This window comes from Homo sapiens, chromosome 1 (assembly GCF_000001405.40).
Source record: "Homo sapiens chromosome 1, GRCh38.p14 Primary Assembly".
Taxonomy (NCBI): domain Eukaryota; kingdom Metazoa; phylum Chordata; class Mammalia; order Primates; family Hominidae; genus Homo; species Homo sapiens.
In genome coordinates, this window is record NC_000001.11 from 113,629,130 (window position 1) to 113,647,166 (window position 18,037).

General features: G+C 40.3%; 1 protein-coding gene across 5 annotated transcripts in view, besides 1 other annotated feature; it reads left to right on the top strand.

Moving 5' to 3' along the window:
- Positions 1 to 18,037, top strand: part of MAGI3 (membrane associated guanylate kinase, WW and PDZ domain containing 3) — a 295,409-nt gene that overhangs the window by 238,615 nt on the left and 38,757 nt on the right. For all 5 annotated transcript variants that reach the window (XM_017000974.2, NM_152900.3, XM_005270737.4 and 2 more), the window contains exons 10-12: positions 12,782 to 13,387; positions 14,614 to 14,645; positions 17,357 to 17,513. In XM_017000974.2, coding sequence (XP_016856463.1) covers positions 12,782 to 13,387; positions 14,614 to 14,645; positions 17,357 to 17,513 — 795 coding nt within the window. The remainder of the gene's footprint in view (positions 1 to 12,781; positions 13,388 to 14,613; positions 14,646 to 17,356; positions 17,514 to 18,037) is intronic.
- Positions 9,535 to 10,036: an enhancer, noted in NCBI's record as "NANOG hESC enhancer chr1:114181286-114181787 (GRCh37/hg19 assembly coordinates)". NCBI's record gives its function as "activates a minimal SCP1, AML or CMV promoter by ChIP-STARR-seq in primed H9 embryonic stem cells {active_cell/tissue: H9 hESC(primed)}" and the evidence as "EXISTENCE:reporter gene assay evidence [ECO:0000049][PMID:30033119]".

The window sequence follows — 18,037 nt, forward strand, 5'->3', positions numbered from 1 at the left end:
CTGACTGTGTATTTTCAAATAGGCTGTCTTCAAGCTCACTAATTATTTCTTCTACTTGATCGATTCTGCTGTTAAGAGACTCTGATGCATTGTTTAGCATGTCAGTTGTATTTTTCAACTCTAGATTTCTGTTTGATTCTTTTTAATTATTTCAGTCTCTGTTAAATTTATGTGACAGGATTCTGCATTTCTTCTCTCTGTTATCTTGATTTTTTGTTGTTGTTTTCTCAAAACAACTATTTTTAATTTTCTATCTGAAAGGTCACATATCTCTGTTTCTCCAGGATTGGTCCCTAGTGCCTTATTTAGTTCATTTGGTGAGGTCATGTTTTCCTGGATGGTCTTGATCCTTATAGATGTTTGTTGGTGTCTGGGCATTGAAGAGTTAGGCATTTATTGTAGTTTTTGCAGGCTGGGTTTCTTTGTGCCCATCCTTGGGAAGGCTTTCCAGGTATTCGAAGGGACCTAGGTCCTAAACCCAATAACAATAAGTACCACCTTGGTATTCTTGGATACGATTCAGAAGAATTATCTGGATTAATAGGCAGAGACTCTTGTTCTTTTCCCTTACATTCTTCCAAACAAACAAAGTCAGTCTCCCTCTCTCTCTCTCTCTCTCTCTCTCTCTCTCTCCCTCCCTCCCTCCCTCCCTCCCTCACTCTCTGTCTCTCTCTTTCTCTCTCTCTGTGCTGAGCCTCTTGGAACTGGGGGTTGGGGGACATAAACATCCCTGTGGCCACCACCACTGGGACTGCGCTGGGTGAGACATGAAACCAGCACAGCACTGGATCTTGCCCACAGCCAGCTGTAACCACTACCTGGCTGCCACTTAAATTAACTCAAGGCCCTGGAGCCCTATGATCAGCAGGTGGCAAAGTGAGCTAGGTTCGTGTCCCTCTCTTCAGGATGGTGAGTTTCCCCAAGCCGCGAGTGGATTCAGAGATATCGTCTGGGAGCTAGGGATTGAAGTCAAAAACCTTAGAAATTTACCTGGTATTCTATTCTATTCTGGCTAAGCTGGCATTCAAACCACAAGACAGACAGAATTCTTCCCATTCTTCACCTTCCACAGACAGAGAAACCTCTCCCTGTGGCCACCAACACTGGCCCATGTGGGTGTGTGGGGGTGTTGCCAGGCCACTGCTAATGCTCACCTAAAGCACAAAGGCTCTTCAGTCAGCTTGTGATGAATGCTGTCAGGCCTGGGACTCACCCTTCAGGACAGTGGGCTCTCCTCTGATCCAGACTAGGTCCAGAAATGCTGACCAAGAGCCTAGGCCTGGACTCAGGGACCCCGAGAGCCTGCGTGGTGCTCTACCCTACTGTGGCTGAGCTGGTACCTAAGCTGCACGACACAGTCACCTTTACCTTTCCCCCTACTTTTCTCAAGCAGCAGTCTTTCACCATAGTTACCACAGCAGGGAATGTGCTGGGTCACGCCTAAAGCCAGCATGTCTCAGAGCCCAGTATCCGTGGTGTATTTATTACCTGGGTATTGCTATTGGTTATTCAGGGCCCAGGGGCTCTTGAGCAGGCAGGTGATGAAACCTGCCAGGTCTCTGCTGTGACAGGGCAGCACTGAGTTCAATGAAAAGTCCATCAGCCACTGTGCTCCCCCTCTCACAATCACACAGATTTCTCCATACCAGGTGGCTGCTACCGGGAGCTAAGGGAGAGGTGGCGTAAGCACTCCCTTAGCTGCCCTGGCTGGTGTCTCGTAGGTTGCAGTCAGGTGTCTCTGATCCCAGCTCAGCACTAGGACTTGTCTAGGAATTGCAGTCCTTGTGGCCTAGACTGCCACTCATTTCACTCGGGGCCCAGAGCACTCCAGCCCCCAGTGGTGAGGCTTGCTGGAACTCAGTCTCCAATCACTGGAATGGGCAATTCCCCTATGGCTAGGGTCGACCCAAATGCTCCCTTTGTTGGCATATGTCAGCTGAGTACAGCCTGGTTCTGCTTTCCCTTGTGACAGGGGAGCACTGAGTTCAATGCAAATCCTGACAATCGCTGTGCTCACCCTCTCCCAAGCATGCAAATTCTCACCACCAGTGCAGGGAGGATGGGGGAGTGGTAGCACTGGCAATTCCAGACTGCCTTTCCTATCTTCTTCAGTGTCTCTTTCAGTGATATGAAGTCCAAACCAGGCACTATGATTGCTCACCTGCTTTTTGTCTCTTGTAACGGTACTTTTAGTGTGTAGTTAGTTGTTAAAATTTGGTGTTTCTGTGGGGGTAGGGGGATGAGTAGTGTAGGCTTCTATCCCGCCACTTTGCTCTGCCCTCCGTCACCATCTATCCTCTAAACTAAATGCATATTATCTTTGATGGTGGGCCATTTTACAAACAGGTGAAAACTGTTGGAGAAAACATTAAATTTATTAATATTTTGAAATATTTTATATAACTTTGAGATAATCCTTTTGCTGTATAAAACTAAAGATTTATTAATCATCTCAGAAAAATATTTGTTTGATTTTCTTGAATTATAAAGGATACTTTTGGAGCAAACATTTACCTATAACCTTATTTGAAAAAAAGGTCCTGTGTGGTGTTTATCATGGTATCAAATTATTAAATCTTGCCGTTTTTCCCAAGTTTGTTTGCTTCCTTAATCTTACTGGTTATTAAATTGAACTCCTATGTTAAGAATTGTAGACATAACATTACCATTTTTACAAAGTAGTGTAAACTTGTCTTTTCTATAGTTTCCTAAAGCCTTTACTTGGTAATTGCTGGATATTTTAATATGGCTGGGAGTGTTTGTGGTTCAGGAACTTGGAGAAGGTTGAAGACTAGTTTCTGATTGCGGGGGGAAGTTTAAGTATTGTTTTCCAGAAAGATTTTAGTATTAATACTGAGGTTGCTTTTTGCAGTGTTTGCTAGACTTTTCTAATCCTCTGTTATTTCACATACCGTGAAAATATGGACCAACATTCAGATGGTTGAATTGTCATAGTATTTTTTGATCTCTCATATTATGCTTTCCCATTGAGGTAACAAAAACTTAAAACAGGAAAACTTAAAATAATCAAGTTATACTTGTAAAGAAAATTATTTTTTTCTACTTTATTACTTTATAAAGTTAACAAACTTTAGAGATTAAAATTAATAGTAAGGTTCTTTTGTTTTCAGTTTTGACCTTTTCAACATTTTATCCATGAAACACATGTCTTAGCTATTGTGTATGCTGTCAGGATTTCAAAATGTAGTTTCATATTTGCCTAATATGCTTATCTAATTTGCATGGCAATACAATATTTCCGTGAAAATTCTGGGAGCTTTAATACCAGATTGAGTTTTTTAAAAGCCATCAGAACAAATTAAAGCACCTTTGTTTGGCAATAACCTTTTAAATAATCATATTCAAATAAAAGCTAATTGATGAGACAACAGGGGCCAAATTTTAAGTCAAGACTGTATTAAAAAATACCCAACTGATGACCGTCAACTGGTAATGATTCTACAACCAAAATAGTCTTACTAATGTCAAATCAGGAAAGCAAAACCAACTTTTAGAGGGATTTATTAAGCTGCCTTGTCAGTGTCTTCAATAATGCATTGTTTGCTTCTGTTGAATTTTTTGTTGCTTGTTTCACCTTTTGAAATCTGATTTATACATCAAATTCAAAATTGCTGGAAAAAGAAGGATACTACAAGAAAATACACTCATAAATTAACATCATTCTAATCTTCAGTTCAAAATTTGTCAAACTAGAATGAATTTTTAAAGTACATTGTTAGCAATGGCTTTTGTTTTGTTTAGTTTTTTAGTTTTTTTTTTATTATTATTATACTTTAAGTTTTAGAGTACATGTACACAATGTGCAGGTTAGTTACATATGTATACATGTGACATGCTGGTGTGCTGCACCCATTAACTCGTCATTTAGCATTAGGTATATCTCCTAATGCTATCCCTCCCCCCTCCCCCCACCCCACAGCAGTCCCCAGAGTGTGATGTTCCCCTTCCTGTGTCCATGTGTTCTCATTCTTCACTTCCCACCTATGAGTGAGAATATGCAGTGTTTGGTTTTTTGTTCTTGTGATATTTTACTGAGCATGATGATTTCCAATTTCATCCATGTCCCTACAAAGGACATGAACTCATCATTTTTTTTTTTTTTTTTTTTTTTTTTTTTTTTTTTTTTTTTGAGACGGAGTCTCGCTCTGTCGCCCAGGCTGGAGTGCAGTGGCGGGATCTAGGGTTACTGCAAGCTCCGCCTCCCGGGTTCACGCCATTCTCCTGCCTCAGCCTCCCAAGTAGCTGGGACTACAGGCGCCTGCCACTACGCCCGGCTAATTTTTTGTATTTTTAGTAGAGACGGGGTTTCACCGTTTTAGCCGGGATGGTCTCGATCTCCTGACCTCGTGATCCGCCCGCCTCGGCCTCCCAAAGTGCTGGGATTACAGGCGTGAGCCACCGCGCCCAGCCGAACTCATCATTTTTTATGGCTGCATAGTATTCCACGGTGTATATGTGCCACATTTTCTTAATCCAGTCTATCATTGTTGGACATTTGGGTTGGTTCCAAGTCTTTGCTATTGTGAATAGTGCCACAATAAACATACTTGTGCATGTGTCTTTATAGCAGCATGATCTATAGTCCTTTGGGTATATACCCAGTAATGGGATGGCTGGGTCAAATGGTATTTCTAGTTCTAGATCCCTGAGGAATCACCACACTGACTTCCACAAGGGTTGAACTAGTTTACAGTCCCACCAATGGTGTAAAAGTGGTCCTATTTCTCCACATCCTCTCCAGCACCTGTTGTTTCCTGACTTTTTAATGATCACCATTCTAACTGGTGTGAGATGGTATCTCATTGTGGTTTTGATTTGCATTTCTCTGATGGCCAGTGATGGTGAGCATTTTTTCATGTGTTTTTTGGCTGCATAAATGTCTTCTTTTGAGAAGTGTCTGTTCATGTCCTTCGCCCACTTTTTGATGGGGTTGTTTGTTTTTGTCTTGTAAATTTGTTTGAGTTCATTGTAGATTCTGGATATTAGCCCTTCGTCAGATGAGTAGATTGCAAAAATTTTCTCCCATTTTGTAGGCTGCCTGTTCACTCTGATGGTAGTTTCTTTTGCTGTGCAGAAGCTCTTTAGTTTAATTAGATCCCATTTGTCAATTTTGGCTTTTGTTGCCATTGCTTTTGGTGTTTTAGACATGAAGTCCTTGCCCATGCCTATGTCCTGAATGGTAATGCCTAGGTTTTCTTCTAGGGTTTTTATGGTTTTAGGTCTAACGTTTAAGTCTAATCCATCTTGAATTAATTTTTGTATAAGGTGTAAGGAAGGGATCCAGTTTCAGCTTTCTACATATGGCTAGCCAGTTTTCCCAGCACCATTTATTACATAGGGAATCCTTTCCCCATTGCTTGTTTTTCTCAGGTTTGTCGAAGATCAGATAGTTGTAGATGTGCGGCGTTATTTCTGAGGGCTCTGTTCTGTTCCATTGATCTATATCTCTGTTTTGGTACCAGTACCATGCTGTTTTGGTTACTGTAGCCTTGTAGTAGGTTGAAGTCAGGTAGTGTAATGCCTCCAGCTTTGTTCTTTTGGCTTAGGATTGACTTGGCAATGTGGGCTTTTTTTTGGTTCCATATGAACTTTAAAGTAGTTTTTTCCAATTCTGTGAAGAAAGTCATTGGTAGCTTGATGGGGATGGCATTGAATCTATAAATTACCTTGGTCAATATGGCCATTTTCACGATATTGATTCTTCCTACCCATGAGCATGGAATGTTCTTCCATTTCTTTGTATCCTCTTTTATTTCATTGAGCAGTGGTTTGTAGTTCTCCTTGAAGAGGTCCTTCACGTCCCTTGTAAGTTGGATTCCTAGGTATTTTATTCTCTTTGAAGCAATTGTGAATGGGAGTTCACTCATGATTTGGCTCTCTGTTTGTCTGTTATTGGTGTATAAGAATGCTTGTGATTTTTATACATTGATTTTGTATCCTGAGACTTTTGGCTTATCAGCTTAAGGAGATTTTGGGCTGAGACAATGGGGTTTTCTAGATATACAATCATGTCATCTGCAAACAGGGACAATTTGAGTTCCTCTTTTCCTAATTGAATACCCTTTATTTCCTTCTCCTGCCTAACTGCCCTGGCCAGAACTTCCAACACTATGTTGAATAGGAGTGGTGAGAGAGGGCATCCCTGTCTTGGCGAGTTTTCAAAGGGAATGCTTCCAGTTTTTGCCCATTCAGTATGATATTGGCTGTGGGTTTGTCATAGATAGCTCTTATTATTTTGAGATACGTCCCATCAATACCTAATTTATTGAGAGTTTTTAGCATGAAGCGTTGTTGAATTTTGTCAAAGGCCTTTTCTGCATCTATTGAGATAACCATGTGGTTTTTGTCTTTGGTTCTGTTTATATGCTGGATTACATTTACTGATTTGCGTATATTGAACCAGTCTTGCATCCCAGGGATGAAGCCCACTTGATCATGGTGGATAAGCTTTTTGATGTGCTGCTGGATTCGGTTTGCCAGTATTTTATTGAGGATTTTTGCATCAATGTTCATCAAGGATATTGGTCTAAAATTCTCTTTTTTGGTTGTGTCTCTGCCCAGCTTTGGTGTCAGGATGATGCTGGCCTCATAAAATGAGTTAGGGAGGATTCCCTCTTTTTCTATTGATTGGAATAGTTTCAGAAGGAATGGTACCAGTTCCTCCTTGTACCTCTGGTAGAATTCGGCTGTGAATCCATCTGGTCCTGGACTCTTTTTGGTTGGTAAGCTATTGATTATTGCCACAATTTCAGAGCCTGTTATTCGTCTATTCAGAGATTCAACTTCTTCCTGGTTTAGTCTTGGGAGGGTGTATGTGTCGAGGAATGTATCCATTTCTTCTAGATTTTCTAGTTTATTTGCGTAGAGGTGTTTGTAGTATTCTCTGATGGTAGTTTGTATTTCTGTGGGATCGGTGGTGATATCCCCTTTTATCATTTTTTATTGCATCTATTTGATTCTTCTCTCTTTTCTTCTTTATTAGTCTTGCTAGTGGTCGATCAATTTTGTTGATCCTTTCAAAAAACCAGCTCCTGGATTCATTAATTTTTTGAAGGGTTTTTTGTGTCTCTATTTCCTTCAGTTCTGTTCTGATTTTAGTTATTTCTTGCCTTCTGCTAGCTTTTGAATGTGTTTGCTCTTGCTTTTCTAGTTCTTTTAATTGTGATGTTAGGGTGTCAATTTTGGATCTTTCCTGCTTTCTTTTGTGGGCATTTCATGCTATAAATTTCCCTCTACACACTGCTTTGAATGTGTCCCAGAGATTCTGGTATGTTGTGTCTTTCTTCTTGTTGGTTTCAAAGAACATCTTTATTTCTGTCTTCATTTCGTTATGTACCCAGTAGTCATTCAGGAGCACGTTGTTCAGTTTCCATGTAGTTGAGCGGTTTTGAGTGAGTTTCTTAATCCTGAGTTCTAGTTTGATTGCACTGTGGTCTGAGAGACAGTTTGTTATAATTTCTGTTCTTTTACATTTGCTGAGGAGAGCTTTACTTCCAACTATGTGGTCAATTTTGGAATAGGTGTGGTGTGGTGCTGGAAAAAATGTATATTCTGTTGATTTGGGGTGGAGAGTTCTGTAGATGTCTATTAGGTCTGCTTGGTGCAGAGCTGAGTTCAATTCCTGGATATCCTTGTTGACTTTCTGTCTCGTTGATCTGTCTAATGTTGACAGTGGGGTGTTAAAGTCTCCCATTATTATTGTGTGGGAGTCTAAATCTCTTTGTAGGTCACTCAGGACTTGCTTTATGAATCTGGGTGCTCCTGTATTGGGTGCATATATATTTAGGATAGTTTGCTCTTCTTGTTGAATTGATCCCTTTACCATTATGTAATGGCCTTCTTTGTCTCTTTTGATCTTTGTTGGTTTAAAGTCTGTTTTATCAGAGACTAGGATTGCAACCCTTGTCTTTTTTTTGTTTTCCATTTACTTGGTAGATCTTCCTCCATCCTTTTATTTTGAGTCTATGTGTGTCTCTGCACGTGAGATGGGTTTCCTGAATACAGCACACTGATGGGTCTTGACTCTTTATCCAATTTGCCAGTCTGTGTCTTTTAATTGGAGCATTTAGTCCATTTACATTTAAAGTTGATATTATTATGTGTGAATTTGATCCTGTCATTATGATGTTCGCTGGTTATTTTGCTCGTTAGTTGATGCAGTTTCTTCCTAGCCTCGATGGTCTTTACAATTTGGCATGATTTTGCAGTGGCTGGTACCAGTTGTTCCTTTCCATGTTTAGTGCTTCCTTCAGGAGCTCTTTTAGGGCAGGCCTGGTTGTGACAAAATCTCTCAGCATTTGCTTGTCTGTAAAGGATTTTATTTCTCCTTCACTTATGAAGTTTAGTTTGGCTGGATATGAAGTTCTGGGTTGATAATTCTTTTCTTTAAGAATGTTGAATATCGGCCCCCACTCTCTTCTGGCTTGTAGAGTTTCTGCCAAGAGATCCACTGTTAGTCTGATGGGCTTCCCTTTGTGGGTAACCCGACCTTTCTCTCTGGCTGCCCTTAACATTTTTTCCTTCATTTCAACTTTGGTGAATCTGACAGTTATGTGTCTTGGAGTTGCTCTTCTCGAGGAGTATCTTTGTGGCATTCTCTGTATTTCCTGAATTTGAATGTTGGCCTGCCTTGCTAGGTTGGGGAAGTTCTGCTGGATAATATCCTGCGGAGTGTTTTCCAACTTGGTTCCATTCTCCCCATCACTTTCAGGTACACCAATCAGATGTAGATTTGGTCTTTTCACATAGTCCCATATTTCTTGGAGGCTTTGTTCATTTCTTTTTATTCTTTTTTCTCTAAACTTCCCTTCTCGCTTCATTTCATTCATTTCATCTTCCATCACTGATACCCTTTCTTTCAGTTGATCGCATCGGCTCCTGAGGCTTCTGCATTCCTCACGTAGTTCTCGAGCCTTGGCTTTCAGCTCCATCAGCTCCTTTAAGCACTTCTCTGTATTGGTTATTCTAGTTATACATTCGTCTAAATTTTTTTCAAAGTTTTTAACTTCTTTGCCTTTGATTTGAATTTCTTCCTGTAGCTCGGAGTAGTTTGATCGTCTGAAGCCTTCTTCTCTCAACTCGTCAAAGTCATTCTCCATCCAGCTTTGTTCCGTTGCTGGTGAGGAACTGCGTTCCTTTGGAAGAGGAGAGGCGCTCTGCTTTTTAGAGTTTCCAGTTTTTCTGCTCTGTTCTTTCCCCCTCTTTGTGGTTTTATCTTCTTTTGTTCTTTGATGATGGTGATGTACAGATGGGTTTTTGGTGTGGATGTCCTTTCTGTTTGTTAGTTTTCCTTCTAACAGACAGGACCCTCAGCTGCAAGTCTGTTGGAGTTTGCTAGAGGTCCACTCCCTACCCTGTTTGCCCGGGTACCAGCAGCGGTAGCTGCACAGCAGCGGATTTTCGTGAACCGTGAATGCTGCTGTCTGATCGTTCCTCTGGAAGTTTTTTCTCAGAGGAGTACCCGGTCATGTGAGGTGTCAGTCTGCCCCTACTGGGGGGTGCCTCCCAGTTAGGCTGCTCAGGGGTCAGGGGTCAGGGACCCACTTGAGGAGGCAGTCTGCCTGTTCTCAGATCTCCAGCTGCGTGCTAGGAGAACCACTGCTCTCCTCAAAGCTGTCAGACAGGGACATTTAAGTCTGCAGAGGTTACTGCTGTCTTTTTGTTTGTCTGTGCCCCGCCCCCAGAGGTGGAGCCTACAGAGGCAGGCAGGCCTCCTTGAGCTGTGGTGGGCTCCACCCAGTTCGAGCTTCCCGGCTGCTTTGTTTACCTAAGCAAGCCTGGGCAATGGCGGGCGCCCCTCCCCCAGCCTCACTGCCGCCTTGCAGTTTGATCTCAGACTGCTGTGCTAGCAATCAGTGAGACTCCGTGGGCGTAGGACCCTCCGAGCCAGGTGCGGCATATAATCTCCTGGTGCGCCGTTTTTTAAGCCCATCAGAAAAGCGCAGTATTCGGGTGGGAGTGACCCAATTTTCCAGGTGCCGTCTGTCACCCCTTTCTTTGACTAGGAAAGGGAACTCCCTGACCCCTTGCACTTCCCGAGTGAGGCAATGCCTCGCCCTGCTTCAGCTCGCACACGGTGCGCTGCACCCACTATCCTGCACCCACTGTCTGGCACTCCCTAGTGAGATGAACCCGGTACCTCAGATGGAAATGCAGAAATCACCCATCTTCTGCGTCGCTCACGCTGGGAACTGTAGACCGGAGCTGTTCCTATTCGGCCATCTCGGCTCCCACCTGTTTAGTTTTTTTGTTTGTTTGTTCGTTTGTTTGAGACCAAATCTCACTCTTGTCATCCAGGCTGGAGTGCGATGGCAGAATCTCGGCTCATTGCAACCTCCGCCTCCTGCGTTCAAGTGATTCTCCTGCCTCAGCTTCCTAAGTACCTGGGATTACAGGCGCACGCCACCATGCCTGGCTAATTTTTTTTCTTTTTTTGAGATGGAGTTTTACTCTTGTTGCCCAGGCTGGAGTGCAGTGCTGCGACCTCGGCTTACTGCAACCTCTGCCTCCTGGGTTCAAGCAATTCTCCTGCCTCAGCCTCCTGAGTAGCTGGGATTATAGCACATACCACCACACCCAGCTAATTTTTTGTATTTTTAGTGGAGACAGGGTTTCATCATGTTGGCCAGGCTGGTCTTGAACTCCTGACCTCAGGTGATCCACCTGCCTCAGCCTCCCAAAGTGCGGGGATTACAGGCGTGAGCCACCGCGTCTGGCCTAATTTTTTTGTATTTTAGTAGAGATGGGGTTTCGCCATGTTAGCCAGGCTGGTGTCGAATTCCTGACCTCAGGTGTACTGGGATTACAGGCATGAGCCGCTGCGCCTGGCCTGAGCCACCACGCCCAGCCAGTGGCTTCTTAAACTCAAGAAATAAGGTGGTATTTAAAGATAGACTGACCCTGTCAAAAAGTGGACAAAGGATATGAACAGATACTTCTCAAAAAAAGACAATTATGTGGCTAACAAGCATATGAAAAAAAGCTCAACATCGCTGATTATTAAAGAAATGCAAATCAAAATGACAGTGAGATATCATCTTACGCCAGTCAGAATGGTGATTATTAAAAAATCAAGAAACAATAGATGCTGGCAAGGCTGTGGAGAAACAGGAACGCTTTTACACTATTGGTGGGAGTATAAATTAGTTCAATTAATGTGGAAGACAGTGTAGCAATTCCTTAAGGATCTTGAACCAGAAATACCATTTGATCCAGCAATCCCATTACTGGATATATACCCAAAGGAATATAAATCATTCTACTATAAAGACACATGCACACGTATGTTTATTGCAGCACTATTTACAATAGCAAAGACAGGAACCAACCCAAATGCCCATCAATGATAGATTGCATAAGGAAAATGTGGTATATATACACTATGGAATACTATGCAGCCATAAAAAGGAATGAGATCATGTCCTTTGCAGGGACATAGATGAAGCTGGAAGCCATCATCCTCAGTAAACTAACACAGAAACGGAAAACCAAACGCTGCATGTTCTTATAAGTGGGAGTTGAACAATGAGAACACATGGACACAGGGCCGTGAACAACAAACACCAGGGCCAGTCGGGGGTTGGGGGACGAGGAGAGGGAGAGCATTAGGACAAATAACTAATGCATGTGGGGCTTAAAACCTAGATGACGGGTTGATAGGTGTAGCAAACCACCATGGCACACTTATACCTATGTAACAAATCTACATATTCTGCACTTGCATCCTGGAACTTAAAGTAAAATTTAAATATATATATATTTATATATGATATATTTTATATATCATATATATAAATATATATAATATTAAATATATATATGATATATAATATATATACACTATATATGATATATATAATATATATGATATATAATATATATGATATATATAATATATATGATATATTATATATGATATATATAATATATATGAGATATATATTATATATATGATATATAAATATATATGAGATATATATTATATATATGATATATAAATATATATGAGATATATATAAATCTATATATATATCAGGGGTGGAGGAGGATTTCTGGCTATAGGGGCTATAGGAACTTGACAGGATTCTTGCTGAATGCAGGCTGAGGTGATCAGGTAATCACCTGGAGAATGGTGGGGAATGAGGACTTAGATCATATATCAAGAGTGGGTGATTCTGGCTAAACCAACTTAGCAGGATTCCTGCTAAAGCTGGGCTCTGGAGGACATGCCAAGGATGAGGCCTACTGAAAAAAGAGCTCAGAGGAACCTGTCTAGAGTTTGGTTAAGGACAGCGTCTTTTTCAGTGTATGTATATATACATACATACAGATATATAAATAAAATTAATTTATTCAAAAAATATAATACAGTTTGTACAAGTAGTCAGTGGAGTTATTTGCTTCTGTACTAAATACCTACTGCAATGTGCCTAGCTTTGCATGGATACTTAGATATGACTCAGAGGGTATACTAACAATGATAATATAAATTATCAGGGTTTTTTTTTTAATGATTCACTTGAGCTTGAAGTCAAAATTCTTTGCTACTGAAATAAGTAGGATTTTAGACATTTATACATACATTTTAGAGAGGAGTTAGAAAAGGGAGAAGGTCTGTGTTAGAAATCTATCTTTTCAGCAGTTAATAGAGGTTTCCAAAATTCAAATTTAGTTGCTAAATTGTAGTTATTTTTGCCCCTCTAGCAAAAAAATTAACTTATTTGTTGATTTTAATATTTTTAACATGATTATGTTTTTCCAGGCGATGTTATTGTAGACATCAATGGCAACTGTGTCCTCGGTCACACTCATGCAGATGTTGTCCAGATGTTTCAATTGGTACCTGTCAATCAGTATGTAAACCTCACTTTATGTCGTGGTTATCCACTTCCTGATGACAGTGAAGATCCTGTTGTGGACATTGTTGCTGCTACCCCTGTCATCAATGGACAGTCATTAACCAAGGGAGAGACTTGCATGAATCCTCAGGATTTTAAGCCAGGAGCAATGGTTCTGGAGCAGAATGGAAAATCGGGACACACTTTGACTGGTGATGGTCTCAATGGACCATCAGATGCAAGTGAGCAGAGAGTATCCATGGCATCGTCAGGCAGCTCCCAGCCTGAACTAGTGACTATCCCTTTGATTAAGGGCCCTAAAGGGTTTGGGTTTGCAATTGCTGACAGCCCTACTGGACAGAAGGTGAAAATGATACTGGATAGTCAGTGGTGTCAAGGCCTTCAGAAAGGAGATATAATTAAGGAAATATACCATCAAAATGTGCAGAATTTAACACATCTCCAAGTGGTAGAGGTGCTAAAGCAGTTTCCAGTAGGTGCTGATGTACCATTGCTTATCTTAAGAGGAGGTAAGTAAAAGCACAACATAGAAAAAGTTTCAGTGTTCAAGCGTTTATATCTACTGATTGTCTTTCCTTACAGTTTAGAATGTGTTTTCCCAGCAGACTTAACTAGTAATTAGTGTGCATTTTCCTTAAGGTTCTGTCTGATTGTTTCCATAAGCAGTGTCTTTTTCAGCAGTTTTTAAAAAATTATTAGTGATTTCATTCATGTCCATTATGGATTTATTTCCCTCTGTATTCTTTTGAAAATCTGATTCATGGCTTTAATGATTAGAGAGAGTCACAGCATTGTGATACTTCAAATGAAATACATCCTCTTAATTTCATTTCTCTGTTGATGACAGTAATAGAAATTGACTCTTTCAACCAATGGTGTGTCATCTGGACCTCTGTAATGCACCAAAGATGTTTTGAAAGAGCTAGCATCTCTGTGGATAAGTAAAATGTTGGATGGTGTATTAATCTGTTCTGCAGAGGCAATCATGATAGCATGTGCTCATAAAGTTTTCATCTTAAGCTCTAGTATCTGACTGTAAATGTTAATTAAACCACACAGTGCTTATGTGAGAGAAATATAATTTTTATTTTCCAAGGTCATCAGCTGACATGAACTCCTCCCAGACATTTACAAATTCAGTTCCAAGGAATAATCACAAAGTTGAATTTTAATATGCTTTCTTAAATCCATACTTATAAGTGACTAGTATCTTAAAGAATAAAAGCCACTTACTCTTTTATCTCTCTGGATTTTACTTTTCACTATTGAGGCAAACGAGCACTTCAGCTTCTTTGGGAGTTGTTTCTTATTCTCGTTTCTTTGATTCACATGGGTTTCTTCTCTGAGTGATGGTGGAATGTGCTCCAAGTAAGGTAGAAATCTCTTTGTGAGTGCTTGAGAGTAATCCAGGGCTTCAACAAGTATAACAAAGACACCAAAGTTCAATGTCACACAGGTTTGATGTCAGTTTCCTGCCTTGCCACTTACTGGTTCTTTGGTATAGGAAAGAATCTTAGTTTACCTTCTCTGTAAGATGGTCATAACATTTGTGCCTTCAGATTGTTATAAAAATGAAATGAGATAATATATGTATAATGCCTGGTACATAGGAGGTTAGACACAGAATTTACTAGCGTACTAAAAGTTGAAGCTAGTTTTATCGTAAACATTAGCAGTATTTGTGATCTGGGAATGCATCCTCTGGTTTTAAACTTTGGTTCATTTTTTTTTTAAGGTCCTCCTTCACCAACCAAAACTGCCAAAATGGTGAGTATACACTGGTCCTCAAATCTTTTCCCCAACACACTGAGAGAGATGCCACATTCCCCTCTGTAAGAGGAGCTCACTGTGGTGATGATTATCGACTGGGAGAAGTTAGGAGGCATGCTGCCCTTGGCTTGTATTTATTAGAAACTAGGGAAGCGTTTGAAAAAGCCCCCTAGTGAGGAGATGTGCTCCACTGGTTAAGTATTGCAACTGGAGGATTACTAAAGGCCTATTGTACCAATAATCCTGTTCTCTAAGTTATAAAATGTGAACACATTAAAGAACCAACCTAGAGGTCTTTTTACTTTTGTGTTTCAGAGAAACAAGGTAGGAAGGACCTAAATGTTAAGACAGATGATAAACTATTACATCGTCTTGCCCCTGCCTGAAGAGAAGACGTACTAGTTCACATAATTTTGTGGGGACTATAAATATGCATGCACCTTTAGATAATCTTCTTACTTTTAAGACTAAATTAGGCTTATTTTTTTATTATTTATTTTTTATTTATTTATTTATTTTTTGAGACGGAGTCTTGCTCTGTCGCCCAGGCTGGAGTGCAGTGGCGCTATCTCGGCTCACTGCAACCTCCGCCTCCGGGGTTCAAGCGATTCTCCTGCCTCAGCCTCCCAAGTAGCTGGGACTACAGGTGCACGCCACCACACCCAGCTAATTTTTTTGTATTTTTAGTAGAGACAGGGTTTCACCATGTTGGCTAGGATGGTCTCAATCTCTTGACCTCATGATCTGCCCGCCTCGGCCTCCCAAAGTGCTGGGATTACAGGCATGATACACCACGTCCGGCTGACTAAACAAGACTTTCTAGAGTAATTGTGGCCTTCTATGCTAAATTTGCTTGTTGTCAAAGTGAAAGACCTGAAACAGTGTCTTCTTTGGCATTCTTCTAAATAATCACGTAGCCTGTTTAAGGACCTGTGCAGAGAATAAGAACTTTAAAAAGGAGTGCATCAAATGCTGCTGTTGTGGAAGAAACTCTACAAGGTGCACATTTGTAGCTATTTAAATATCCACAATGTTTTGGATATAAAGACAATTTTATTTAAAATTCTAATTTAGTTCTAGTTTGCTCCTTTGGAGTCTTTTATCTCAAAATCAAAAGATGGCCTTCCATAACCATAAACTATAGACAATTATATTAAATGAATTAGTTCTTTCTAGCCCACCAAGTAGGAATCCTCTGCAAATTTGCTGTTTTATAGATTAAAAAGAATCCCTCAGCTTCTGGCCTTTTTTTTTTTTTTTTTTTTGAGACAGAGTCTCACTCCATCACCCAGGCTGGAATGCAGTGGTGTGATTTTGGCTCACTGCAGCCTCTGCCGCCTAGGTTCAAGCAATTCTTGTGCCTTAGCCTCCCAGTAGCTGGAATTACAGGTGCACGCCACCACACGCAGCTAATTTTTATATTTTTGGTAGAGATGGAGTTTCACTACATTGGCTAGGCTGGTCTCAAATTCCTGACCTCAGGTGATCTGCCCACCTCGGCCTCCCAAAGTGCTGGGATTACAGGCATGAGCCACTGCGCCCGGCCAGCTTCTGCCCTTTTCATTGACTGCTTATACTACTTGGGTCCAGTGTGAACAGAAATTGTTTTTGTCCATTCAGTTCAAATTGCACTGTATTCTACATTTCTCTGGTTCCTCTAGTAATCATTTTTAACTCCTGTGCCACCATATTTATTTCATAATGGATGCCACTGCAGTCGCAGTGGCCCTAATGCTTTATAATTGATGGAAGGGTCTGATGAACTTTAACCGCCTCTGACAGAATGCTAAGATGTATGGGGAAGGGTAGGAGACTACTGTTAGCTTCTCTGCCTTCTCATTGGGTCTGGGTGATTGAAGGGTCCCCTCTAGCACGACACTTTGTAGTGGCTGACCCCTGATTACTCCCTGACAGACTGGTGCCCCTGCATTCTAGTCATTGTTAATGATCACAAACATCCATAATCTCCCTCTCCTAACAATAATCCAGGAAAACGAGCTGGTCTCAAAACCATATTTCTTAGGCCATTTATTGGATTTCATTGTTAACATTTTATTAAATAAGTCATTTTGCTTGGCTGTTATCTTGGGAAAGTTCTAGCTGAATAGGAAAAATATCAAAATATGCTACTATGCTTTCCCTTATCTAATTGTCTTGCATGGTACATTTTCTCTTAATATATGTGAATTGGCCAGACAGGGTTTTCACAGTGCCATCTTTATAACCTAAATTAGAGTTAACCTCTCCTGTTTTCTTAGAAAGAGTATTATCTTAAACATCTTCCTTAGAAATTAAACTCAGTGAATGGGAGGTGGGCCGTGCTAAGAATTTTATGAAGATATTCTCTGAATCTCCCTCTTACTTTACTTAGAAGTGCTGCCTTGTATTGTATTTCTATTTATCTTCATCTCAAAGTCAATTTGTGTCTTGGTGGTGGAGAAAAGGGCAAAATTGTTTAAACATAGGACTAACTAAGGCTCTTCAGTTGATATTACTATAAACTTTTTTCTAATTTAAGTTAAATATGTTTCAACCAAATACACATTGCTATGAAAATGAATTCCTGTAACTGTAAATCTGCTGTGTCTTTGATCCTGCCACCTATACAACTATAATCAGTTGACATATCCATTTCAGATATCAGTTTTATGAATTAATCAACCATCTGCTTTTTAAAAAATACTAAGTAAGGCTCTTTTCCATTTCAGAAAACAGATAAAAAGGAAAATGCAGGAAGTTTGGAGGCCATAAATGAGCCTATTCCTCAGCCTATGCCTTTTCCACCGAGCATTATCAGGTCAGGATCCCCAAAATTGGATCCTTCTGAGGTCTACCTGAAATCTAAGACTTTATATGAAGATAAACGTAAGTAGTTGTGGAATATTTCAGGAGAGCATATAACAAGATAAATTTGGATTTATTTTAGACTAGGACCTTCCCATCTTTCAGAAGCATATTGAAAAGTTATTCCTTCATTACCATTTTAATAGAACTCTGGACTTCTTCCATGTATATTCGACATTCACACATTCATTTTTTTCAAAATCATGCTTTAAGTGCTAGTTATCTACCAGATGCCATACTAGGTAACCAGAATACAGAGATAAATAGGTTACATAGGACCTGCACCCAAAAATATTATTAGAACTAAATGGAAAAAGACAAATATGTAATCAAATAGTATACAAATAAGTACACATAATAAGCCTAACAGGTACAGTGATAGAAAGATGAAATGGATAAATTGGGATCCAAAGAAGGAATATTCAGTTTTATCAGTGTGGGCAGTAGGAAGTGTCAGGAAAAGCTTCATACTGGAAGCAAAGCTTTAACTAAGTCATCAGGGATGAAAAAGTGTCTTTGAGGAAGATAAAAGGGAAAGATAGAAG